Below are 27,391 nucleotides of genomic sequence, written 5' to 3'. Positions count from 1 at the left end.
ACAAACTAATGATGAATTTTTTTTTTTTTTTTTTTTTTTTTTTGGAGATGGAGTCTCCCTCAGCTGCCCGGGCTGGAGTGCAGTAGTGTAATCTTGGCTTACTGCAACCACCGTCTCCTGGGTTCAAGCGATTCTCCCATCTCAGCCTCCCGAGTAGCTGGGACTACAGGCACCCGCCATCATGCCTGGCTAATTTTTGTATTTTAGTAAAGATGGGTTTCGCCATGTTGGCCAGGCTGGTCTTGAACTCCTGACCTCAGCTGATCCACCTGCCTCGGCCTCCCAAAGGGCTAGGATTACAGGCATGAGCCACTGCGCCTGGCCAAATCATTCATTTCTTGAATATCTGTAGGAAGAGTCTAGAGGCTGGGTCTGTCAGTTCTGCACAGTGGCGTCTTTCTCACAGATGGCATTTCCCACTTCACAGGGTGTTAAGTTGTTCTTCGTCCCCTGTCAAGCTCCGGCCTCACCTCAAACCCGTAAGGTCCTTGCACACACAGTCCGGGTGAGGCTGTGAGGATCCAAGGACACCGAGTGAAGTGAGGGCAGCAGGACCCAGTGCCTGGCCATTCTAGCTGGGACTGGCCACCTGGCAGTGTCGTAGCCAACATCTGTGGTGACTCTGCCATGCCCCAGGTAGTGTGTGTGAACAGTTTACATATAGAGCGCATGGAATTTCCACAATGACCCAGTACATTAGTGGGTTAGTTTGGCTTTTAGTAACAAAAACCCAATTCCAAGCTGCCTACGCAAGAAAGAGAAATGATTAGAAGACTCAGGAGGGCCTTAGAGAGGCCAAGAGTAGGGATACAACTGGGCTTGGGACTGGCTGGAGCCGGGCTCCTCATGTCCTGCCTCGACCCCTCTTCCTGTGCCTGGGTCACTTGCTTCTGCGGTGGCCAGCTTTATCATGGCGGCACATGGCCACTAACAGCTGTCAACTTCCGTGACATCCTCAGTTCAAGAGAACAGCCAGTCCAAGCTAGAAACTAGTCCCAAGGAAGGACTGGGATTGTTTTAAACAGGCTCAGGCACCCGCCTCTGGACCACTAAGCTGTCACTGTTACCAGTGTGGAAACGTCCACATTGACTAAAACATTCGTGTGACTGCAGAGGTGTGAAGGGGGGGGTTCCCTAGACAGTGGGGGAAGGGCAGACGGAACAGCAGCAGTCTTCTTCCATGCTTGCGTTTTTATTTCCATTTAATAGATGAGACTCGAGGAAAAAAATGCGCAGGTAGAGTGTGCGGGTTAAGAGTACAGACCCGGCCAGGCACAATGGCTCATGCTTGTAATCCCACCACTTTGGGAGCCTGAGGTGGGCAGATCACTCGAGGTCAGGAGTTCGAGACCAGCCTGGCCAACATGGTGAAACCCTGTCTCTACTAAAAAATACACAAATTAGCCGGGTATGGTGGTGCATACCTGTAATCCCAGCTACTTGGGAGGCTGAGACAGGAGAATCACTTGAACATGGGAGGTGGAGGTTGCAATGAGCCAAGATTGTGCCATTGCACTCCAGCCTGGGTGACAGAGCAAGACCCTATCTCAAAAAAAAAAAAAATTACAGGCCCTATATAAGATCTGAATAGACACTTCACCAAAAAGATACACAAAAAGCAAATAAACACATGACTTTAAGTGGGTAAGCGGCGGGGCACCCTTACAATGGATTCTACTCAATGTGAAAAGGTGGGATGTGCTGATGCACACAGCACGGGTGAGTCTCAGCAGCATCGTGTTAAGGGAAGGAAGTCGGCATGAAAGTCTGTATGCCAATAACTCCATTTATATAAAGTTCTAGAGAAGATAAAGCTCATGCTAGAGAGATCAGTGGTTGCCGGGGCCAGAGGTTTGAGGAGAGGATTGGGAGAGGCCAGGAGAGAATTTGTGGGGAGATGGAACTATTCTATATCATGATTGCAGTGGTGGGATACATTTGTCAACTTACTGTATGCTTAAAATTGGTGATTTTTTTTTGAGACGGAGTCTCGCTCTGTCACCCAGGCTGGAGTGCAGTGGCACAATCTTGGCTCACTGCAACCTCTACCTTCAGGGTTCAAGCGATTCTCCTGCCTCACCCTCCCGAATAGCTGGGATTACAGGTGCCTGCCACCATGCCGGCTAATTTTTTGTGTTTTTGGTAGAGATGGGGCTTCACCATGTTGGCCAGGCTGGTCTCGAACTCCTGACCTCAAGTGATCCACTCCCCTCGGCCTCCCAAAGTGCTGGGATTACAGGCGTGAGCCACTGCGCCCAGCCGAAATTGGTGAATTTTATTGTGGGAAAATTAAATCTCAATAAAGTTTTTTTAAGAAAGGTAGCCATTATCATTTTTAGGCATCTCTTACAGGTTTTGCCTTTGAATAAACGCAATAAAAATAAAGTAGTAGGTCCTGGGGTTAATCTAAACTACATTCAACTCCCCCAGGCCCTATCATGATACCTTGAGTACCTTTTTGACTTTTTTAAGCCTCAGCAATCTCATCTGTAAGTCTGGAGATGGTAACTTCTAGCTTATAGATTTATTGTTGTGAAGGACGAAGAGATGATGTGGATAACTCCTCAGTGCTGGGGTTATCTAGTCTGACTTTGGTAAATGTATTATTATCGCTTCCCAAGGGCACACAGCTTCTAAGTGGCAGATTCAGGGCTCAAACCGAAGTCTGTTTTCAAACCCTAGCTCCTGGCCGCCCGCGCCGCACCGCCTCACTAGCGCCCTCTTGCGCTAGTTCTATGCTCCAAGCACACTTCGGATTCTTTGACTTCCCCTGTAAGAACACAGCGTGCTGATCAACAAACCAGAGCATCTGCTTCTATTTATAACTCTAAGTAGAAAATTGACATTCAGCTTTTATAAATACTTTTAAAAAACAGGAACAGGCTGCAAGTCTTTTGATTTGGAAACTCTTGAGTAGCAAGGAGAAGGCTCAGAAGGCCACAAGGAATCCATACTGCTTACAGAGGGAGGGAGGGCAGGCTTTGGCCCCAGCAACTCATCAAGATGACTGCCGTGTAAAGGGGCTTGGCTGTTGATGCTCCCAGCCAAGGAAGGAAGGTAGGTGGCCAGTGCCTCCAGCTGTAAGCAGAAGCCCGGGTGTCACTGGTTGGGAGTAAGAGAAGGAGAATGAGAACAAACCATGGTGATAAGTTGGTTCTGAATTATGACCAGGCAAAGGGTGGGAGAACTGTGGCCACATTTGAGCTCTGATAAGAGCAAAGCTGGAATCTTAAATATTTAGACGCGGAGCCCTAAAGGATGTACTTGACAAGCAATAAAAATCTTAGAAACACTTTAGTGATTCTCACGGCTTGCTTCTTATTCCAACTGCAAATTAACCTGGCAGTCTGAGAACATACTCTATTTTAACTTCCAAGCTCCTCACAGCAAACATCCTGTGTCTGGGACATCAGGAGCCTTTCAGCTCCTCCCAGCCTCAGGGCCAAGTACCACAGGCTCAGGGCTCCCCAGGGACAGGTGCTGGCTGGAATCGCCTGTGAGGTTAAAAAACGCACGTGATGCTGGGCGTGATGCTGGGCGCGGTGGCTCACACTGAAGTGCTCCCAGCACTTTGGGAGGCCGAGGCGGGGGATCACTTGAGGTCAGGAGTTCGAGACCAGCCTGGCCAACATGGTTGAAACCCTGTCTCTACTAAAAATACAAAAATTAGCCTGGTGTAGTTGCAGGCACCTGTAATCCCGGCTATTCAGGAGGCTGAGGCAGAAGAATAACTTGAACCCCGGAGGTGGAGGTTGCATTCTCGGCAGTGAGGCGAGAATGTGCCACTGCACTCCAGCCTGGGTGACAGAGCAAGACTCCATCTCAAAAAAAAAAAAAAAAAAAGGCCGGGCGCAGTGGTTCACGCCTGTAATCCCAGCACTTTGGGAGGCCAAGGCAGGCTGATCACCTGAGGTTGGGAGTTCGAGACCAGCCTGACCAACATGGAGAAACCCCGTCTCTACTAAAAAATACAAAATTAGCCGGGTGTGGTGGCACATGCCTGTAATGCCAGCTACTCGGGAGACTGAGGCAGGAGAATCGCTTGAACTCGGGAAGTGGAGGTTGTGGTGAGCCAAGATTGTGCCATTGTACTCCAGCCTGTGCAACAAGAAATTACATCTCCAAAAAAACAAACAAACAAACAAACAAAAAAAAAACCACACACCACAGGTACTCAGACTCCTCCCAGGTGCAGGATTCAATCTGAGTAAGCCAAGGTAGTGGTAGGAGTGATCCCGGGGCCTGGAAATCTGGAACATTTTTGTTTTACTTGGTGAGGATGGAGACTGAGTGAAAGTCTGGTCTGCTATTCGAGAAAGCTACCATTGTCCCAAGTTGGCAAGCCAAGAAACAGCAGTATAAACATTATTTAGAACTATGAAAACAAATACAAGGAGGAACCACAGAAAGCACCTAAAGTGGTTCTAACCAGTGGTGTCCGAAGTCAGAATAGTGATTATCTTGAGAAGCGGGGACTATTAGCTTGGAAGGACCATCAGGGAACTTTCTAGGGTGCTGGAAATGGTCCGTATCTTGATCTGGGTGGGAGTTGGGTGTTGGCCCTCCCTATCCATGGATTCTGCGTCGGTGAATTCAACCAACCTTGGGTTTAAAATATTTGGGAGAAAATCATTTAAAAAAATACAAATGATATACAAACAATGTAACAACTGTTTACGTAGCATTTACATTGTATCAGGTGTTATAAGCAATGTAGAGGTGACTTAAAGTATACAGAGATGATATGCATAGGTTATGTGCAAATGCCACACCATTTTGTATGAGAGACTTGTGCACCCTCAGATGTGGCGCTTGAACCCAGGAAGCAGAGGCGGAGGCTGCACTGAACCGAGATCACACCACTGCACTCAGACCTGAGGAACAGTTAGATTCCGTCTCAAAAAAAAATATTGGGGGGGGGGGGTCCTGCAATCAATCCCCCATAGATACCGAGGAATGACCATACATATATAAAAACCCATCAAGCTGTACTCTCAAGATTGTGTATTTCGCCTGCATATAATTTAAACTCTGTAAATGTCTCCCTCCAAAGAGGAATCAGTTTACAGCGAGACTAGGCTGTAGGCAGACTTTTTTTTTTCTTTTTCTTTTTTCAAAGACAGAGTCCCTCTCTGTTGACTGGGCTGGAGTGCAGTGGTGTGATCACAGCTCACTGCAGTCTCATCCTGGGCGCCAGTGATCCTCCCGCCTCAGCCTCCCAAGCAGCTGGGAGTACGGGCACAGGCCACTGTGCCTGGCTAGATTTTAAATATTTTGTAGAGACAGGATCTCCCTTTGTTGCCTGTGTTGGGCTTGAACTCCTGGGCTCAAGCAATCCTCCTGCCTTAGCCTCTCAAAGTGCTGGAATTACAAGCGTGAGGCACCGTGCCTGGTCAGGACTGACTTTTTTTTTTTTAAAACATACATTTACAAACTTAAAACCATCTCCACCTTTTTAAAAAACACCATATTCATGTCTCCTTTGATAAAAATAGAAATTAGATGTTTTAAAAGGTCCACAAGAGTCTGGTGTACAGCCTGGGTTGAGAAGTTCTGACTTCAGAAATGCTTCCTGCAACTGCTTTTTAAAAATAGCTTCTAACCCTTTCTTTCACCAAGGTAAATTCTCATGAGTTTCAACCTCTACTTTAGAGCATACCTTTGCTTTCTACAAGCAGAAGTTTGAAGAGAAGAGCTACACAGTAGGTTGGTCTGCATGGAATTCCTCTACTTCTTCTAGTCTCTTCCCACCAGGCACTGCCAGCTGCTATTGTTTGAAACTGACACTCAACATTACCACCAGCCCCAGCTTATGTAGTGGAGCTTTTGAGGCCGGGCTCTGACTCAGGCTGGCCTAGCGGATCGCAGGCCACAGAAGAGCAGCTCTGGATATTTGGTTTTTCAGTAGGTCAGGCATGGGATGGGGGTCCCCAAACAAGGTCTTTCCCAATTTTCCTGGTAATTCTGATGCTGGTTGGTGGTCCAGAAGCCACATTTTGAGCTACCCTGCCTAAAAGAGTCCATACTGCCAACAGGAAAAAAAAAAAAGTGTATATATTTTCAATCAGATTTACTGAGGCATAATGAAGAAAGTGTATCTATTTTAAGACTGCCTTTTGACAAATGTAGGCACCCATGTAACTACTGCCAATCAAAATATGGAAGATTTCCAACACGCTAGAAAGTTCCCTCTCTGCCATTAATCCTTGGTCCTCCCTGAGGTCCGGCCCCAGGCAAACCTGCTTTCTGTCCCTAGAAACCAGTTTTGCCTGTTCTAGGATTTCACATAGAGAATTGATTGTACAGTATGTGTACTCTTTTGTGTCTCATTCCTTTAGCTCAGCTTTTGATTTATTAGCTCAGCATGTTTTAAAGGTATTCATGTTGCTGCTTGTGTCAGTAATCCCTTCCTTTATAGAGATGTATCACAATTTAACCTTTTTTTTTTTTTTTTTCTGAGACAGGGTCTCACTCTGTCACCCAGGCTGGAGTGCAATGGTGCAATCTCGGCTCACTGCTGCAACCTCCCCCTCCCCGGTTCAAGTGATTCTTCTGCCTCAGCCTCCCAAGTAGCTGGGATTATAGGCACCTGCCACCATGCCTAGCTAATTTTTGTATTTTTAGTAGAGACAGGGTTTCACCATGTTGGCCAGGCTGGTTTCGAACTGCTGACCTCAAGTGATCTGCCTGCCTCGGCCTCCCAAAGTGCTGGGATTAGAGGGGTGAGCCACCACACCTGGCCTGTTTATCTGCTTTCTAATTGATGGATATTTCCGCTCTTATGAATACAGCTGCTATGAATGTTCAAATACAAGTGTTTGATTGGACATAAGTCTTCATTTCCCTTGGGTACGTAGGAGGATTGCTGGGTCATATGGTAAGGATATGCTTATTTGTAAGAAGCTGCCTGTTTTCCAAAATAGCTGTACCATGTTACAACACCACTAGCAAATGAGTTCTGGTTGCTCTACATCTTCATTCATACTTAGGTGCTGTCAGTCTTTTTACTTTTGATCATTCTAGTGGATGTGTAATGGGATCTCATAGTTTTAACTTTTTTTTTTTTGAGATGGAGTTTCGCTCTTGTTGCCCAGGCTGGAGTGCAATGGCTCAATCTCGGCTCACCACAACCTCTGCCTCCCAGATTCAAGTGATTCTCCTGCCTCAGCCTCCCAAGTACCTGGGATTACAGGCATGCACCACCACGCCTGGCTAATTTTGTATTTTTAGTAGAGATGGGGTTTCTCCATGTTGGTCAGGCCAGTCTCGAACTCCCGACCTCAGGTGATCTGCCTGCCTCAGCCTCCCAAAGTGCTGGGATTACAAGCATTAGCCATTGCGCCCGGCAGTTTTAACTTTCATTTCATAATGAGCAATGATGGTGATTCTCCTTTTATGTGCTCAACGGCCATCTGAATATTTTATTTTGTGATTCTGATTCAGAGTGTTTAGAGATCGTATTTTGAGGAACCCTGCCTTAAAAACACCCATATGGGGGGGGTCAGCCCCCCGCCCGGCCAGCCGCCCTGTCTGGGAGGTGAGGGGCGCCTCTGCCCGGCCGCCACCCCGTCTGGGAGGTGTACTCAACAGCTCATTGAGAACGGGCCATGATGACAATGGCAGTTTTGTGGAATAGAAAGGGGGGGGAAGGTGGGGAAAAGATTGAGAAATCGAATGGTTGCCGTGTCTGTGTAGAAAGAGGACATGGGAGACTTTTCATTTTGTTCTGTACTAAGAACAATTCTTCTGCCTTGGGATCCTGTTGATCTGTGACCTTACCCCCAACCCTGTGCTCTCTGAAACATGTGCTGTGTCCACTCAGGGTTGAATGGATTAAGGGTGGTGCAAGATGTGCTTTGTTAAACAGATGCTTGAAGGCAGCATGCTCGTTAAGAGTCATCACCACTCCCTAATCTCAAGTACCCAGGGACACAAACACTGCGGAAGGCCGCAGGGTCCTCTGCCTAGGAAAACCAGAGACCTTTGTTCACTTATCTGCTGACCTTCCCTCCACTATTGTCCTGTGACTCTGCCAAATCCCCCTCTGCGAGAAACACCCAAGAATGATCAATAAAAAAAAAAGAAAAAGAAAAAGAAAAACACCCATATATATGGCCTCCAGAAAAGAACGACTTGAAGTGATGATTTATTTACTTATTTTTTGAGACAGGGTCTTGCTCTGTCACCCAGGCTGGAGTGCAGTGGCAAAATCTCAGCCCACTGCAACCTCCACTTCCAGGATTAAAGCAATTCTCGTGCCTCAGCCTCCAGAGTAGTTGCAATTACAGGTGCGCGCCACCACGTCTGGCTAATTTTTGTATTTTTAGTAGAAATGGAGTTTCACCGTGTTGGCCAGGCTGGTCTTGAACTCCTGAACTCACGTGATCCACTCACCTCAGCCTGGGATTACAGGCGTAAGCCACCACGCCTGGCCTAAAGTGATTATTTAAATGGAAAATCTAAGAGTTCCTCCCCCTAACTTTGTGAAAATTTTCAAAAATACACAAAAGTTGAAAAACCAGTGATCTACTTAGATCTAACAGTGAACAATTTGTTACACCCGCTCTTTATGTGTTTATCAAATTGTTGAACTATTTAAAAGTAAGCTGCAGACATCCAGATGCTTCATCCTTAAATACTTTAGCACTTATCTCCTAAGAATATTCTTCTATGTAATGGCAATTCCACCATTATACCTAATAAAATTAACAATAAATTCATATTCAATCCATATCCTAATTTCTCATTATTCCAGCCTTTTAAACAAAGATCCAATCAGAGTTCAAGCCCTTTTACTGATTATCATCTCTTCAGTCTCCTTTGTGTTTCATTACCTAGTAGATTGTCATATTGATTTCAAGTAAATTAAACTTTCTGAACAAAAATATCAAGAAATCAAAAAATGTAACTGGCCAGGCAGGGTAGCTCATACCTATACTCCCAGCACTTTGGGAAGCCAAGGTGGGAGGATCACTTGAGCTCAGGGGTTTGAGACCAGCCTGGGAAACATAGTGTGATCCCATCTCTGCAAAAAAAAATTTAAAAAATTTTTTAAAAAATTAGCTGAGTGGGAGGGTGGTGGGTGGGGGCAGGGCTATTCAGGAGGCTGAGGCAGGAGGATTACTTGAGTCCAGGAGGTCAAAACTATAGAAAGCCATGTGCACCACTGCACCCCAGCCTGGGCAACATGGTGAGACCCTGTCTGAAAACAAAAAACAAAAAATGGTAACTCCTATATACCATGTTATTTGGATAACTATCGGTTTTTTATCTGTTACAATCAGCTTGAGAGATACCATGAGACTAGAATAAAAGGTGCTGGAAATGGGACAGTACTTGCAGTTATCATCCTGCTTCATTCATTTCAGTCTTTTTTGTAATGGACATTTCTGTTGCTCCCTCCCTTCTTGCCACTCCCAGCTGAATCCTACCTGTCACAATACTTTATGCCAGAAAGAGCCTTTCACTTAGAATCAAAAAGGTGTCGGCTGACTCTGTCCTATTAGTCACTCAGCATGCCTCAGCTTCCTACTCCGAAAAACGGGCATGATGGTGATAGAATATGGTCCCTTCGAGTAACCACAGGATTGCTATACAAATCAAATGAGATCGTGTGAGTTAATTTATGTTGGAAAACATGAGGCACTTCATTCATTCATTCCACATTCATCGGGCATCGTCTATGTAGGTCTCTGTGCCAGGGACAGAGATGTGAGAAAAAGGTTGCGAGAGGTTCTGGGAAAAGTTGCCTTGCTCTTAAGAGACACAAGATGAAATGGTTTCTCTTCATATGGATATAGGGCTCAGATGCTAGTCCAAGATATGGAGCTGGCATGCAACTCAATCACACGAGCTGCTAAGGTCCCTTCAGAGTTTAAGCCCATTTGAATGTATTTTCTTTTACAGGTAGCCAACAGCATCCAGAGACAGGTGTGAACAGCATTTGAGACTTGAAGAATCAGTCTCCCAAAGGAGCATCAGAGCAGATTTTGATGCTGGCACCAGCCTTTGACTTCTGCTTGGCTGGCCCCATCTCTTAGATCCCTGCTTGACTGACAGCCCAATTCTGTGAGTCTCAAAGCCTTGCTTCAGCCAATGCTGGCCATTAGCTTGTTCTGATCCCCAGATATGCCTGCAGACCCCAAACCTCTAACACCCTAATGTTTCTGCTGCTACCTGGAGAACATGCCAGTGTGCTGCCTGCTGACCCTAGAGCCCCCAAGGCCCCACTCATGCATGGCCCCAGTACTACTCTGCTGACAGACCCCTGCCTGCTCTCCCCTACTCGGCCTCTGCCCAGGGAAACCCTGTTCTCTCAGCTCTCTAACCTTTCCTAACTCCCCTGAGGGAGAAAATGCTTTTTCAAATAACAGGCAGTACAAAGAAAAATACTGAGAAAGGGCAACTTCATATTGCCTTATTTATATCCCAGGAAATTTTAATTATCAACAGTCAAGATATAATAAAATCGTGATGTAGGCTGGGCGCAGTGGCATACACCTGTAGTCCCAGCACTCTAGGAGGCTGATGCAGGCAGATCGCTGGGGCTCAGGAGTTGGAGATCAGCTTTGCCAACACAATGAAACCCTGTCTCTACTAAAACTAGTCAGGCATGGTGGTACACACCTGTCGTCCCAGCTACTCAGGGGCCTGAGGTGAAAAGATCGCCTGAGCCCAGGATGTTGAGGCTGTAGTGAGCCGAGATTGCGCCACTGCACGCCAGCCTGGGCAACACAGTGAGACCCTGTCTTAAAAAAAAAAAAAAAAAAAAAAGAAAGAAAAACAAAAAACAAACCCCATAGCATTTATTTGAAAAAACTTAAAGGTAGATAACCATTACCTAAAAACCATTTTTGAAAGAAAATCATTATTACATCAAATAGCTTCTGCTTTTTCAGATACAAAACAGACAAGAATGTGTTTCAAACTATTTAAGTCAGTACAGCATGTGGTAGTGAACTAATTCTGGACGTTCCTGGCTGTGCTTGCTGGTCTTGCGTTGGCGGCAGGCACTCAACTAGCCCAGGGCAGCAGCTAATTTACCACTTGAAGGGACATGTTTCAATGGTTTCACAAGTGGGATAGCCGTAAAAGCTGAACATCCACATTAGGCATGTGGGTTTTTTTTTAAAAATATGTAATATTTACTTAGATTTTTAAAGCTAAAAAATCCATAAATGGGCTGGATGTGGTGGCTCATGTCTGTAATCTCAGCACCTTGGGAGGCTGAGGTGGGAGAATTGCTTGAGCCCAGGAGTTGTAGACCAGCCTGGGCAATAAAGCAAGACTCCATCTCTACAATTTTTTTTTTTTTTTTTTTTTTTTGAGATGGGAGTTTTACTCTTGTCGCCCAGGCTGGGGTGCAGTGGCACCATCTCGGCTCACTGCAACCCCTCCAGGGTTCAAGTGATTCTCCTGCCTCAGTCTCTGGAGTAGCTGGGATTACAGGCATGTGCCACCATGCCCGGTAATTTTGTTTTGTTTTTTGAGATGAAGTCTCACACTGTTGCCCAGACTGGAGTGCGATCTCGGCTCACTGCAGCCTCTGCCTCCCGGGTTCAAACGATTCTCGTGCCTTAAGCCTCCCGAATAGCTGAGACTACAGGTGTGTGCTACCATACCTGGCTAATTTTTTTTTTTTTTCAGTAGAGATGGGGTTTCACCATGTTGGCCAGGCTGGTCTTGAACTCCTGACCTCAAGTGATCTGCCTGCCTCGGCCTCCCAAAATGCTGAGATTACAGGCATGAGTCACCATATCCGGCCTCTACACATTTTTTTTTTTTAATTAGCTGGGCATGGTGGTACGTGCCTATAATCCCAGCTCCTTGGGAGGGTGAAGTGGGAAGATCACTTGTGCCCAGGACATTGAGGTTGCAGTGAGCTAAGATCATGCCACTGTGCTCTAGCTTGGTGACACAGGAAGACCTTACATTAAAAAAAAAAAAAAAAAAAAAAAAAAAACCTATGAACATTTAACAATTATAATCAGCATTTATTCGGAAAAACTTAAATGATGTACATAATCATTACCTAAAAACCATTTTGAAAGAATTTACGACATCAAATGGCAAAAGTGTTTGTGGAAATTGTAATGCATACTGGGCGATGGCTCAAAAGGCCAATGTTGAAAGCTATCACTAAAAATAGATGCTTAAAATGTAACATGGAGGGGAAAGAGGGAACTTGGAAAAGATAAAGGTATATTGGTTTTAGGTCTAATAATCACAGGTAAGAAAGTCTTTGTTTAAAAAACAAGCCTGGGCCGGGCGCGGTGGCTCACGCCTGTAATCCCAGCACTTTGGGAGGCCGAGGCGGGTGGATCATGAGGTCAGGAGATCGAGACCATCCTGGCTAACAAGGTGAAACCCCGTCTCTACTAAAAAAAAATACAAAAAATTAGCCGGGCGCGGTGGCGGGCGCCTGTAGTCCCAGCTACTCGGGAGGCTGAGGCAGGAGAATGGCGTGAACCCGGGAAGCGGAGCTTGCAGTGAGCCGAGATTGCGCCACTGCAGTCCGCAGTCCGGCCTGGGCGACAGAGCGAGACTCCGTCTCAAAAAAAAAAAAAACAAAAAAAAAAACAAAAAAAAAACAAAAAACAAAAAAAAAAAAAAAAAAAACAAGCCTGGCAGGGGTAGGGCAGGGAGGGGTTGCTCATGCCTTATACTCCCAGCACTTTGGGAGGCCGAGGCGGGCCTATCACCTGAGGCCAGCAGTTCAAGACCAGCCTGGGCAACACGGCGAAACCCCGTCTCTACTAAAAATACAAAAATTAGCCGGACGTGGTGGTGCACGTCTATAATCCCAGCTACTCGGGAGGCTGAGGCAGAAGAATTGCTTGAACCCAGGAGGCGGAAGTTGCAGTGAGCTGAGATTGCACCATTGCACTCCAGCCTGGGCAACAAGAGTGAAACTCCGTCTCAAAAAAATAAAAAACATACCTATTTAAGGAGGCTTTTTTCCTTAGTTTTAGTTGGTGTTGATAAGCTCAGCAAAGGAGCTTTAGGGTAATACTTGATGACAGCAAAATGAAGGAAACCTTACTGAAGGTAAAAACTTAGCAAAACACTCCCCAGAGGGACAAAAGTTTTTTGCAAATACAATATACTTACTTATGCTTTCTACCAGTCACCAACACAGAAAGACCAAAAATTGTGTATGAGAAAGTGATATTAAGATTTGAGATTTTATTCTAATTCAGTGGCATCAATCATGTAAAGAGCCATGCGGTTGAAGTGGTCCGCTGTGGCACGCAGCCCCACAGTGATGGTGCGCTTTATGCCCTGTTCATGTTGGGGCAGCCTATACCATCTAGAAACCACAGCTGCAGTAACCATTGATATATAGACCTGTGTTACTTCTACAAGTGTTCCATTCCAACTGTACATATGCTTTAGAGTTCAAAATCTAAGTCCAGATATACTATTATAATGGGCCAGGTCCCAGACATTCTTCCTCACACCAACCAGCTAGTCCTTTTGATCTTACTCCGAACCCCAATGTACGAAATCTGAAGTGCTTGTAAGGATTTAGAACAGCACAGACTACCCGGAACAAAGGAGATACAAAACATTTCTTAGCAACCAAAAATAAAAGGGAAATGGGCCACTGAGGCAGATGGGTCTCTCAGATTAAATGCCATATAAATTGCATGTGTGGAACCAAATACAGCAGAAAACCCTCAGTTAATGAGGCATAGCTTGGTAAATTGGGAACTTGATGAGGGTTTTTAACGTAATCTGGTATCACTTAGAATGGCCTTAGTTTCCCATTCTCTCAGCACCTTCACAGAGGCCCACATGCCTCTGACATCAAATCTGTCAAACTTGGGGACAAAGGACATTAACAGTTCTTGAAAGGTGACCTTAGTTAATGATACCCACAGATACTAATTTCATTACTTAAGGAATCTGTGTTCCTCAGAATTTCCAGAATCACAAGTGATACCTGCCAATTACAGTTTAAGTTACTAACGGATATACAACTCTTCAAGGCAGAAACTTAAGTCTCATTATGTTGGTTACATATACTGTTTTTATTTGGGTTTGTTGAATGAGAATAAAAACACCCCAGTTTCTTCTGCAGGTCGAGCCCTTCTCTATAACGGTCATTACAAACAACCCTGAAGTGGCTGGAATATAGTCAGCAAGGGGCCCACATGAACAGCTCATCTGGAATCTTTGCAAGTACGTATTTATGTCCTTTGGTGCCTTGCACAGTAAGGCACTGTTAATGACGTAACAGAATAGAGGAAATGCCCACAGCAAATAGTTCTAGTGACAATTTACTAGACAAGTTACAGTTTAATAATGGTGGTGGTGATTGTTTCTTTCATTTTATTATTATTATTTTTTTACAATAAGGGTGTAGCCTTTATACTCCACACACACAAAATAAAACAAGTGCTTATTACGAAAAGAGTCCCTGCCCCCACCCCCTAGAACATCCTGAACATAGCAATTCAACAGAACAGAAAAATCAAGACGTTTGATTTCAAAATTTCAATAAAAAAGCAAAAGTATGTAATGCAACAGCTGTTCAACTTCCAACTCTAAATAGGCACCATTAAACAAAAAACCCCAGTATTTTAAATTTCTCCAGCACACATTCCAGGATCAATGCTCTGAACTGTAATCAGCTAGTAATTCATAACGGGAATACAGCCTTAGAATGGAAGCTATATTGCTTCCCTGCCCCCTTTCTCTTACAATTGGAGAGTGTAGGTATTAAGGGATACAAAGTCAGAGGAAGAATAATTAAAAAGAAAAATGCCCAAAGCTGCAGCTGTTTGGACTAGGAAGACAGCATTTTACAAACGTTCAAAAAATCCCAAGGCAAGTAACACAATTTGTTCACTAGCACTCTTACTTGAAAGAATAAAGAGATCAGCATCTTATTATATAAAACTGTACTTTCAGAACTGTATTACAGGTTCACCAGAAACTATGGATGTAGTTTTAGGCATCATCAAGGAAAACAGGTTCAGTTCAGATCAAGTTAGATACTGTACATCTAGCCTAGCTGGATCTGGTGTCTGGATCTGCTCACTGTCACCCTGAACAGCTGTGAACTAAACAATAGTACGTAACTCCGTAGGAAGCTTAAGGACTGAAGAAATGTACACAGCTAGTTAGATCTCCCCTGCTTCGCGCTCTTCAGAGCTCCTCCTGTCTTCTGATCTGCCATTAGCACTCTCATAGGACCGCTTCTTATCTTTCCGATCTCTGTCACGAGGTGATCTGTCTCTTGAACTCCTGTCTCTGTCACATGATGCTAAGTCTTGGTCTCTGAATCTTTCTTTTGAGGATCTGAAAAATATTAATTTGAGGAGCAAAATATGTTGGGAAACCCAAAAACCCAAATTAAAGAATAGGATAAATATTAAGCTCTTGATAGCTGAAGATATATAGACGAATATACCCATGACAGAGGAGTCAGTTTTCTGACAAATTACAGAGCACTACCATAGTTGATAAGGGCATTAAAACAAGAAGATGGGTGAAAAACAAATAGCAGAGGGTCAGAAGGCTAAAATAATTTCTTACAGGCTACTCTCATCTCAGAGACAACACAGAGTTTCTCCAATTCATAAAAGGTATTTTAATATAAAAAATAATACATAGATAACAGCTTTAAAAAGTGAAAGAAATGTATTATCTAAATTTTAAATGGCTTAGAATAGGGGCCAGATGGTGACTATCTGGGGTACTGCAGGTCCATGCAATCTTTGTGGCAGTTCTTTTCTTTTTAGAATGTAAAAACCATCCATAGCTTGCTGGTTGTACAGGCTACCGGCCAGATTTGGCCTATCGGCAACAGTTTGCCAACACCTGACTTAGATAAGAGAACTACTCAATTATTAATATGAATTTAAATAACCACTTCTAAAAATCTACTCATACTGAGTTAGCTTATTCAACCAACAAGGGGAAATAAAAAAAGACAAAGATGCTCACACTAATAAATCTTGATTAGCCATAACTGTTTACTACCTTCTCCATTCCCATACCCAACTTCATTATAAGAAAGGTAAATAATAAATCAATCGGAAAACCAAACATATTATGGAATCAGAATAAACATGGAATCTTCCATACTTCCAACATCTAAAATTCAACAAATTACATTTATTTGGTTCTTTACAGGTGACACAGCACTTTTACATAATTATCTCACTCAACCCATATTCAAAATTAGGATCTGAGGCACTACCAAGAACCTGAATAAGTAATACTTTCAGGAAAATAAAAAATATGACTGTTCAGTTTTAGAAATATAGTTAAGGAGGGTTAAACAAAAAATGGTTCTAAAATAATGTCCACTTTGAACATTCTACTTAATGTTTTAATAAACTTAAAATGATATAAAAAGACTGGGCACGGTGACTCACGCCTGTAATCCCAGCACTTTGGGAGGCCAAGGCAGGCAGATCACTTGAGGTCAGGAGTTCAAGACCAGCCTAGCCAACATAGTGAAACCCCCGTCTCTACTTAAAATACAAAAAATTAGCTGAGAGTGGTGGCGTGTGCCTGTAGTCCCAGCTACTCGGGAGGCTGAGGCAGGAGAATCACTTGAACCTGGGAGGCGGAGGCTGCAGTGAGCCCAGATCGCATTACTGCACTCCAGCCTGGGTGACAGAGCAAGACTCCATCTCAACAACAACAAAAAATCACAGTGCCAAGTCTAGTGATTCCACGTCTACACTAGTCCTATCCATAGCCTTTGTTGGAATAAAATATGAAAAGAGATGGTAAAAATGATACCTAAAAAGACACTAGATGCCAAACAGTCCCAGTGATCAGTAATAACTAAAAAACTATGAGTATCAACTACTATGTCCCACACATAGTGGTTTCCATATACTATTTTACTCAAACTACCAATAATCTTAACAAAGCAGGTATTCTTACTTTCTCCACTTAGTAGATGGGGAAAGACAGGTGAGATAGTTATAAATTACTTAGCCAAGGTGGGACGTGGTGGCTCATGCCTGTAATCCCAGCATTTTGGGAGGCCAAGGCAGGTGGATCACCTGAGGTCGGGAGTTTGAGACCAGCCCGGCCAACATGGCGTAACCCTGTCCCTACTAAAAATACAAAAATAGCCAGGTGTGGTGGCCTGGGCCTGTAATCCCAGCTACTTGGGAGGCCGAGGCAAAAGAATCGCTTGAACCCGCAAGGCAGAGGTTGCAACGAGCCGAGATCGCGCCACTGCCCTCCAGCCTGGGTGACAGAACGAGACTCTCGTCTCAAAAAAAAAAATAAATTACTTAGCCTAAACCAATGAACCCAAGTAATCTGACTTTGGAGTCTGCACTAAACATGTTTGAACAGAGCAAAAAGATAGATAGATGCAAATGGTCCTCATTTACGCAGGGCACTATTGCCAGGAAGAGGTCACAAAGAATCTACTTGTATCAGAGACAAGTATTTCACAGTAGGGAAAGGAGAACAGCAAAACATAAAAGGCTTTCAATAAGAACTTTTACCTTGAAAAATTAAACCCAAATATGTAGCAATAACTTGATGTTGTATGAAATACCAAGTAGGTTTTAACAGCAATTATCTGGTAATTTTTAGTATAAAACAAAGAATGATGCTTTAAAAGAGAATAATTTGAATTCAAAGATGAGAAAGTGCTCGAGAAAAGCAAAACTTTTAATAGTTTTACAAAAATAATCCTCTTTATGAACATGCTGACATCTTAGATATGATCATGTATCATGTATGGTGGAAAAATTCCTATACAACTTCATCAACGCAGGAAGCATCAGGGACTAAAATAACACAATCTCAGATTAGGGGACTTCACGCCCATCCTTCCCATACCCATCACCAATAAAGACATTTAGGAGTTCAGCAACAACAATGACAGTTGGGCAGATTTGACACAGGAAAATGTCTAAACCTTCCATCACCTAGCAGGATAATTCTGAAAATTCATTGTGCAGATAAGACAGGTAACTTTTAAAAAATGCTTATTTCTGAACACTGCACTGAGGGTAGACCCCCAAAATCAGTTTCAAGAGTGTGAGATAAGAGGCCTACAAATCACTCTGTCCTTTACAAACTCCCTCCTCATTCTCTGCATTTGCCTAGGATATTCACTCTATATGGAATATCTTTTTCCTAGCTGATTCTACCTGTTCAAATTTTACCGACTACCTGAAGCCATTTTTGATTACTCTGTTATTTGCCTCATCTAAACTCTCGGATCATTTATTCTATGATATGCAGTTTAGCACTTTATAACATGTGGTAGTCTTATGCCAGTCTAATTATTGTCAAAGATGTCAATCCTTTGTTCTAACTCACATAGGAGACTTTTTGTTTTTTTTTTTGTTTGTTTTTTTTTGTTTTGAGAGCTGGAGTCTCGCTCTGTCACCCAGGCTGGAGTGCAGTGGTGCGATCTTGGCTCACTGCAACCTCCACCTTTGTGTTCAAGCAATTCTCCTTCCTCAGCCTCCTGAGTAGCTGGGATTACAGGCATGTGCCACCATGCCCGGCTAATGTTTGTATTTTAGTAGAGATGGGGTTGGTTGGCCAGGCTGGTCTTGAACTCCTGATCTCAAGTGATACGCCCATCTCGGTCTCCCAAAGTGCTGGGATTATAAGCGTGAGCCATGGCACCCAGCCTCACATAGGAAACTTCTTAGAGCAACTTAAAGTTGTTCAACTATGTTATACGTCTTTCTTATGTTTTACTAAGTCTAGTACAGTAAAACATATACAATTAATTATTATTAAAATCACCTTAAGAAATACTAAAAACAAGGCCAGAATATAAGAAATAAAATATTGAGAGCCTATTAACAAACTCAGCTTGTGAGTGATTTCAGGGAATGGAAAGTTGAGTCAAAAAAAAATAGGAAAGATTTTAACAGCTTTCTGTGGATTTTATTATAGATTTTATGTGGAGTAATCCACAGAATATGTAAGACTAGTAGGTACTAGGCACTCAAAAAATGTTTATCATACATATACTTCTGAATAGTTGTCAAGAAAAAAGCAATTTTAAACATGGCTTACGTTACACAGAAATTACCTGGTTTAAGGGCCATCATGTGACCTGAGAAGTTTTGACAGTTTGATCTATACAGACTATGAATGCTAAACTCTTCTACCACATTATAATCCTTTGTCTATCCTTAATAGATATTCAAGTCCTCAAACATACCTTACCCTATGCCTGCACCTTTTGAATGTTCTCATTAAACCAAGGGAAGTCTTGGAACCTCCTTATTAGTCTGCCTTGCCAAGCTGAAGGTATGTAACAATACATATCTATAGTGCAGATAAAACAAGAATATACTAGAATGTGTCTGCTCTGAAAAAGCATCCCAGCTCAAATAAGTTTAGAAAACAATAAATCAAAGCTAAACAACTCTTGTAATGAAAGGACTTCTCAGAGCCCCTAATTTGCTGATCCATACTAAGGGTATTGGTATTTAAAATTATTTACCTGTAAAGAACTTTTTTCCAAGACACACTAAGCAGAGAAAAGCAATAACCTCTACACATATTGGTTCCAATTTCTTGCTCTGGCTCATAAGTATATTCTTTCAAAACTACCCATATAATCACAGAAAAATGTTGTACACCCACACATAAATGTGTACATATTACCAGATGCAAAAGTTTCAAACCAATAATCTGAACTCTAAACATAAGTAACATAAGTAAACATAAACAACTCTAAAACATTAAGGTAGCTCCATATCCTCTGATTGACACATCAATACCTCCTCTTGGATCGTTCTCTGCTCCTATCTCTAGAACTGTGCCGACTTCTCTGGTGGCTACGGCTGCGGCTACGGCTGCTGGAGCGGGACCTGTGGCGATGGCGTTTCTCCCGAGATTTGGATCGAGTTCTCCTCTTGCGTTCACGTGACATGGAGCGAGATCGATGTCTGCGATGCTCTCTGGACCTGGATCTACCAGACAAGATTTGATTTTGTTTCTACCTTTGTAATTACTATATTTCTCATTTATTAAAGCCTTTTCTTTAAAGAGAAACTTTTTTTCAGTAGTCTTAATGTCAATTATATTCCAAGTCAGCTAAATCTACACTGAATTGCTGGTGTGTTAATAACTACATACTAGAATTCAAAATAAAACATTAATAATTCTCAGCCAGGCGCCGTGGCTCACACCTGTAATCCCAACACTTTGGGAGTCTGAGGCAGGAGGATCGCTTGAGCTCAGGATTTCAAGACCAGCCTAGGCAACATGGCGAAACTCTGTCTCTATAAAACATACAAAAATTAGCTGGACACAGAGGCACATGCCTGTAGTCCCAGCTACTCAGGAAGCTGAGGTGAGAGAATCTCTTGAGCCAGGGAGGTCAAGGCTGCTGCAATGACCTGGTGATCACATCGCTGCAGTCCAGCCTGGGCAAAAGAGTGAAATTCTGTCTCAAAAACAAGACACTGATTGATAATTCTCAGAGAGCAATCAGTAATGTATAAATTTATTATCAGAAATAGTTTTTCAAGTGAAAGCAACTTTTGAACCACTACTATATGCCAGGGGCTATATTATCTAGATTTGTTATGAATTTAATTGCACTTAAATATCTTGAACATTTTTGTATCCTCTAGAAATTAAATATGTACCTGACAGACCTGGACAGAAGGGAAGAGAAGAGATGAGGAAGAATACGTCAGGACAAATTACTCTTTGTCTGAATTAGAAAGGTGAGATAACCATAGAAGTAAGTTTTTAATGCCCACAATATGCATGTCTAGTCACAGTGTAATCAAAACAGAGTAAGGGCCAGGGGTAGTAGCTCACGCCTTTAATCCCAGCACTTTGGGAGGCTAAGGAAGGATGATCACCCAAGCCCAGGAAGTCAAGGCTACAGGGAGCTGTGTTCACACCACTGCATTCCAGCCTGGGCAATAGAGAGCAAGACAAAACAAACACAGTAAGACAGTTCTCTATTCAAGGAGCAAACAGTTTGGGAGAAAGAACACTTGCGAAAATCATTTTTGAGAACTTGACTCAGATTGCAAAAAAAATGTATTTCTAATGAATACACAGAAATAGAGAACGAAAAACATTCTGAAAAACCAGAAAATATACGATCAAGGTGCTGGCAAAATAAAGACATTTTTTGAAAAGAAAAAAACCCACAAGGTAAGACACTTTTATAGCCTCCACCAGGTCACAAACTAACTTGTGGGGTGGGTGGGGGTGCATGGTGAGGGTGGAAATGGCATGGAGAGGACATAAACGTTTGACAGAAAACAAGGGGAAACAAAGGAATGCAACTTTGTTAGAAGAGTCACTTTAAGAATGATGGAAATGTTCTCAACTGGATTATGGTGATAGTTGCACAGCTTTAAATCTGCTAAAAAATCACTGACTTCAGAGTAAATCATATATATATATATATATATATATATATATATATATATATATATATATATTTTATACCTCAATAAAACTCTTAAATTTAAGTCACTTTAAGAATGTGAGGTTTGCTCATAATTTGATACAGCAAGTTCAAAATCATATTATACATATGAGATAGTTTACAAATACAGTTTATCTTCAACTGATTGTTATGAACGATGCTAAAAGGCATTCAGCTTATGTCAACATTATAGTCAAAGAAAGGTACATGACATGGACGTAGCTTTAGCCACACTTAAAAAGAGTATTTCTGGCTGGGCACAATAGCTTGTGTCTGTAATCCCAGCACTTGGGGAGGCCACAATGGGAGGACTGCTTAATCCTTAAACGGGAGGAGTTCAAGACCAGCCTGAGCAACATAGGGAGACCCCGTATCTACAATAAATTTTTAAAAATTAGCTGGACATGGTGGCACACGCCTGTGGTCCCAGCTACTCAGGACAGAGTGAGACCCTGTCTCAAAAAAAAAAAAAAAAAAAAAGCGTTATTTCCACAGCTGAAAAGAGTAATTCCAAAAGGAAGCAGAGGGAAAAAATATAAAACTCTCAGTGTAAGTTTTATCAAATCATACTTCGTTTAACCACTCATTTTGAGTTATTATGAATGCCATTTCTTCCAATGTATAACTTTATTCATCTTTTTAAAAATTCTAGGTAATTTTTTCATCCAAAAAATATTCACTAGGTATTTTTGCACTGTTCTATACTAGGGGAGGTTGAGTAGCAAGTAAAACAAAGTTCCTGCACTAAACTTAGTGCTTATACTATAGAAAGGGATCTATACAGGTTTGTAGGCAGTAAATAAAGATATGTCAGGTGGTTAAGAAAAAAAAAAAAGATCTATTGCTGGACATGGTGACTCATGCCTGTAATCCCAACACTTTGGAAGGCTGAGGCAGGCGGATCACTTGAGGTCAGGAGTTCAAGACCAGCCTGGCCAACATGGTGAAACCCCTACTCTACTAAAAATACAAAAAAAAAAAAAAAAAAAAAAAAAAAAACTTAGCAGGGCATGGTGGCACGTGCCTATAATCCTAGCTACTAGGGAGCCTAAGGTAGAAGAATCACTTGAACCTGGGAGGCGGAGGTTGCAGTGAGCTGGCATTTTGCCACTGCACTCCAGCCTGGGCAACAGAGCAAGACTCCGTCTCAAAAAAAAATTAAAAGATGTTATTACGTAGAGTGGAAAAAGAGAAAAGAGTGGAAATATTTATACGGAATAAGCAGGGAAGGCTTTTCTGATAGGTTGGCACTGAAGCAAAGCTGAAAGAAGAAAGGGAACAAGTGAATCAGTCATCTCAGAGAGGAGTGCTTCAGGCTGAGGGAACACAGATGCAAAGTCCCTGAGGTGGGAAAAAGCTCAGCATGTTGAAGGAAAAGACCAGTGTGGCTGGAATGAAGTGAGCAAAAGGAAGTAATATCAGGGTCTTACAGGCAGGATGACCAGGTACTTTATCATTCAAACTAGAAGGCTCTGAATAAGTTACTGAATGTAATGAGAAGCTATTAATACATATTCTGGGATAAAAGACATAAACCAGAACTATCCCAGGGCAGTTTGGGCTATGCCAAGCTTGTCCAACCTGCGGCCTCCAAGCCGCATGCTGCCCAGGATGGCTTTGAATACAGCCCAACACAAATTTGTAAACTTTCTTAAAATATTATGAGATTTCTTTGCAATTTTTTTTCCAGCTCATCAGTTATCATTAGTGTATCTGATGTGTGGCCCAGGTAAGCCAAAAGATTGGACACCCCAGGCCACACCGTCACCCTATGTAAAAGCTTTGGTAAAGATGTTAACTTCTCATATGAATGAGATGAAAAACCTTTGGAGAATCAGAGGGCTGATGTGATGTATTTCATTTATTTAAAGGCTCATCCTGGCTGACGTGTGAAAAATAGAATGAGGTGAAGAAGGGGGGTGGGCAAGCACAGAGAACTAAGGAGCCCAGTTACAAGGCAAACATATTATCTAGGTAACAGGACTAGAGGAATAGAAATTAAATTTCTGGCCCAAATATCTAAAGATGTTCTATGTGCAATACTTTATGTTTTCAACAAAGGGACCAGCTTATATTAATCAAACAGTAAACAATAACAGTATCACAGTTTAATGTTTCTACTTATCATGCTAGATCAGAGAAATTCACCAATAATATAAATTAGCTGACACAACTGGCCCCACTTATTAATGTTCTTTAGTTTTTTTAGTGTTTTAGGCAGAAATATCATTGATAGATGTTGCTAACAGAACTGTAAGGTTTTTGTTTTTCTTTTTTTGAGACAGTCTTACTCTGTCACCCAAGCTGGAATGCAGTGGCACAATCTCGGCTTACTGTAACCTCCACCTCCTGGGTTCAAGTGATTCTCCTGCCTCAGCCTCTCAAGTAGCTGGGATTACAGGCACCTGCCACCACACCCGGCTAATTTTTGTGTTTTTAGTAGAGATGGAGTTTCGCCATGTTGGCCAGGCTGGTCTCGAACTCCTGACTTCAGGTGATCTGGCTGCCTCGGCCTCCCAAAGAGCTGTGATGGTATAAGCGTGAGGCACTGCGCTCAGCCAGGTTTTTCTTTCATAACAACAAATTCTCTACTTTTTAGGGAAAACTTCTTGGGAAATAGTCTCTAGAGCTGAGAACTCAGAAAGTTTCTAAAAGAAGATGTGATCTGAACAAGAGGAATGGTAGAATTTGGAAAAGACTGAGAAAGGGCATTCTAGGTGGGAATGGATCCATGAAGAAAGCTCAACGACTGGAATGAGAAGGGCAAGTGAAGAACTGAGAAAGAATGATGAAGTACAACACATTTCCCTGCCTTTCTCAGACAAAAAAATGTATCAGCAACTAGCAAAAACTACAAAGAAAGGTTTCAAACCCCAAATATTAACGCTGAAAGTCAAAACAAAGTATTGTCTTGCTCTTTTAAGGCTGCAAATGCCTCTCTGAAAGCCTTCTGTGATCACTGTATAAAGGAATGGGTAATAAACTCACATAAAGTCAAGACTGGAGGGTATACTAAACATTTTGGTTTTGCTTAACCCACAGTGGATCAATCAAAATTTTATCCAACTATTAACCTACTAATGTTTTCAACAGCTACAACCTCTTAGAACATGTTTCCTAAATGTACCACCCAAATTGATTTTTAAAAAATTAATCCTTTTACGTATCTACTCTGAGCATCTAAATGATTTCAAAAAAAATTTTCTTTTTTTTTTTTTTTTTTTTTTTAAAGACAGAGTCCTATTCTGTTGCCCAGGCTGGAGTGCAGTGGTGCTATCTTGGCTCACTGCAACCTCTGCCTCCCGGCTTCAAGCAATTCTGCCTCAGCCTCTTGAGTAGCTGGGATTACAAGCATGCATCACCGTGCCCAGCCAAAAAAGAAAATTTTTAAAGGACCATTTAATCAATCTATAAAAACTACCTTTGAAAAAGACAACTTCACTACTTATACCTGTCTTATGTAATACACCTACCTTTTTGGATTCTTGCTGTGTGATCGGGACCTAAAAAAAAAAAATATGTATTTTTAGAAAAGTGGCTATAAATAAGAAAACAGTGCAGTGTTACATTATATTCTTCCTGATTTCTAATGTTTACATTAATTTTATAAATACAAGGCGTGTACCTACGCACACAAAATTTTCCAAAAGACACCACAAACTCGACAGATTTCTTCACCTTGCAGGGTTTGCTTAACTCAAGAATACCTGGCTCTTAAAGAATATGTTCCTAGGAGATTAAAACACAGTACAGGTTGAGTACTCCTTCTCCGAAACGCTAAGGATCATAAGTGTTTCGGATTTTTTCTGTTTTTTGTTTTTGTTTTTTTTTTTTTTAATTTTTACATTTTTTGTTGCCTAGGGTGGTCTTGAACTCCTGGATGCAAATGATCCAACCACCTTGGCCTTCCGAAGTGCTGGGATTACAGGTGGCCGATTTTTTTCAAAATTTGAAGTGTCTGCATTATAATTTACTGGTTCAGCATCCCTAAATCCAGAAACCAAAATCTGAAATGCCCTAATAAGCATCTCCTTTAAATGCTGCCAGCACTCAAGAAGTTTCAGATTTTGAAGCTCACTGGATTTCATTTTTTGGATTTGGGATGCTCAACCTACATATCACAACTTGCTAATTTTCCAGAAACCACTTACCAGCTTGGAAAAAATTCTTTTATATCTGTCATTTCTTTTTTCCCTTCTGGGAAAAGAGTGAAATTTCTATGGTCTGAGATCTACATACTCTTGGAGCTACAACCTCATACTATAATCTCTAGAACACCTAGTTCAATCTTACAATGTGTTTCTTCAAATGAAATGAGATACTCTACTTAAGGCACTTGTCACATTTCCTAGCACACAGGTAACGCTCAATGAAATGTAAAGTGAATATTATGGCTAGTAGGACACCACAGGGATTATTATTTTTTTTTGGATGATATATAGCATTGTTGAAAGCATGACTTTGAGATCAGCCAGATTTGAGTTTTATTTCTGGTTCTACCATTCACTGTCTGTGTGACCTAAGTAAGTTACATATCCTCTCTCAGCTTACTCTGTCACTAGCAAAAGAGGGATACTAATATAAATTTTACTGGGGTGGAGTGGGGGTGGGGTTTATAAAGATTAGATGAATATGGATAAATTCCTTACTACAGTGTCTGGCATACAATAAGCACCCAGTAAATGATTATGATTTTTTTCTTTTATCCCATCTTATATAATTTTATACTAGTTTCTAATTTCCTCATCTTCCATACTTCCATATTTCTTTAAGCTCACAGATTCAACGACTTTTTTTTAATGTTTCTGAAATTTGCATTATATAATCACTGTCAAAAGAAACTTGCCATTTGGCAAACAAAGGAGTAAGATGTGATATACTTTTTCATCATCTACAAATGTGAAAATGTAGTCCTGCAAAGAAATTCTGTTCCATGTTACTGTCACCTCAATTGAATCTTAAAATGAGATTCCCAATATTACTGAAAATTCCACTTATATATTAGAATACTGGGCAATATTCCCATAAGGACTTACTATACACAAAAGAACAAGTAGATAAAAGCTCTGAGGTAAACTTTACAGTAAATGAAGAAATCTCTCTCTCTCAATAGAGGACTGACATCACTTCTCCTAAAAAGGGACCATATAGACATGTAGTTTTGTTTCACTGTCTTTATGGTGCAAAAAGATTACCTGGTTATAAGCCATGTGACACAAACGAAGTCTGTTTAAACTTCTTGAAATATACTGAGTATATAATATGCTCAAAGATCGAAGGAAGTGAGCATAACCTAATACTACAAAGGGTTTTAATTAGCTTAAGCACATCTGCTAACTCTAAAGAGAAGGTATTTAAATTTAAGACATTTAAATGTAGTATGATTCAAGGAACACTATAAATTAGGACTACAGGCAAATCATTTGTGATATAACTGTCCATCCTAAAGCTGCTGAAGTTAAAAAGATGAGTTACAAAAAAATGTTGCCACCATGATGCTATGTGATTTTAGCTGCCAATGGTAAAAGTGACTCAGAAGAATGTTTAGACATTCCAAATACTAGAATTCTAAGATTTTATCAATTAATGAATACCAATGTAAGAGGAATTATATACATTTAGATATTTTTAGACTTTTTAATAGTTTATGGCTCCTAGAATTGAGGAACTAACCAAAGTTCAATGTAAAAAAAACCCTTCAATGAAACAACCACCCTTAAACCTTTTGTTAACAAAATACATCATAAAAAAAAAATAATAATTCTATGCTAACCTGGTGCAAATCTAGCCCAATATGAAAAATCAAAGGGCTAGAAAAGGATTTTGTTATAAATCTTTTTTTTTTTTTGAGACAGAGTCTCGCTGTCGCCCAGGCTGGAGTGCAGTGGCCCGATCTCAGCTCACTGCAGGCTCTGCCCCCCCAGGTTCACGCCATTCTCCTGCCTCAGCCTCCCGCGCAGCTGGGACTACAGGCGC

General features: G+C 41.8%; 3 protein-coding genes and 1 long non-coding RNA gene across 6 annotated transcripts in view, besides 2 other annotated features; 2 read left to right on the top strand and 2 right to left on the bottom strand.

Moving 5' to 3' along the window:
- Positions 1–10,371, top strand: part of KLRG2 (killer cell lectin like receptor G2) — a 56,576-nt gene extending 46,205 nt beyond the window's left edge. The window contains exon 4 of the mRNA XM_011516141.3: positions 9,907–10,371. Coding sequence (XP_011514443.1) covers positions 9,907–9,936 — 30 coding nt within the window. The 3' untranslated portion in view covers positions 9,937–10,371. The remainder of the gene's footprint in view (positions 1–9,906) is intronic.
- Positions 9,943–20,007, top strand: LOC100129148 (uncharacterized). Its single transcript, NR_033999.1, has 3 exons — positions 9,943–10,068; positions 14,084–14,184; positions 19,774–20,007. It is a non-coding gene; the product is annotated as an uncharacterized LOC100129148 (long non-coding RNA).
- Positions 10,065–10,701: an enhancer, noted in NCBI's record as "H3K27ac-H3K4me1 hESC enhancer chr7:139111514-139112150 (GRCh37/hg19 assembly coordinates)". NCBI's record gives its function as "activates a minimal SCP1, AML or CMV promoter by ChIP-STARR-seq in primed H9 embryonic stem cells {active_cell/tissue: H9 hESC(primed)}" and the evidence as "EXISTENCE:reporter gene assay evidence [ECO:0000049][PMID:30033119]".
- The window catches only part of LUC7L2 (LUC7 like 2, pre-mRNA splicing factor), an 82,983-nt gene continuing 69,606 nt past the window's right edge, over positions 14,015–27,391 (bottom strand). For all 3 annotated transcript variants that reach the window (NM_001244585.2, NM_001270643.2, NM_016019.5), the window contains 3 exons: positions 24,889–24,918; positions 19,740–19,931; positions 14,015–15,306 (listed from right to left, as the gene is read on the bottom strand). In NM_001244585.2, the coding sequence (NP_001231514.1) occupies positions 15,129–15,306; positions 19,740–19,931; positions 24,889–24,918 (400 nt within the window). In that variant the 3' untranslated portion in view covers positions 14,015–15,128. The remainder of the gene's footprint in view (positions 15,307–19,739; positions 19,932–24,888; positions 24,919–27,391) is intronic.
- The window catches only part of FMC1-LUC7L2 (FMC1-LUC7L2 readthrough), an 82,118-nt gene continuing 68,741 nt past the window's right edge, over positions 14,015–27,391 (bottom strand). The window contains exons 9-11 of the mRNA NM_001244584.3: positions 24,889–24,918; positions 19,740–19,931; positions 14,015–15,306 (exon numbers count right to left, since the gene is read on the bottom strand). Of these exons, the coding sequence (NP_001231513.1) occupies positions 15,129–15,306; positions 19,740–19,931; positions 24,889–24,918 (400 nt within the window). The 3' untranslated portion in view covers positions 14,015–15,128. The remainder of the gene's footprint in view (positions 15,307–19,739; positions 19,932–24,888; positions 24,919–27,391) is intronic.
- Positions 26,540–26,740: a silencer, noted in NCBI's record as "peak6781 fragment used in MPRA reporter construct". NCBI's record gives its function as "represses an SCP1 promoter by STARR-seq MPRAs in K562 erythroleukemia cells {active_cell/tissue: K562}" and the evidence as "EXISTENCE:reporter gene assay evidence [ECO:0000049][PMID:32103011]".

Source organism: Homo sapiens, chromosome 7 (genome assembly GCF_000001405.40).
Source record: "Homo sapiens chromosome 7, GRCh38.p14 Primary Assembly".
Taxonomy (NCBI): domain Eukaryota; kingdom Metazoa; phylum Chordata; class Mammalia; order Primates; family Hominidae; genus Homo; species Homo sapiens.
Note: the sequence above shows the minus strand (reverse complement) of the source record. Positions and strands in the feature narration are given on the sequence as shown.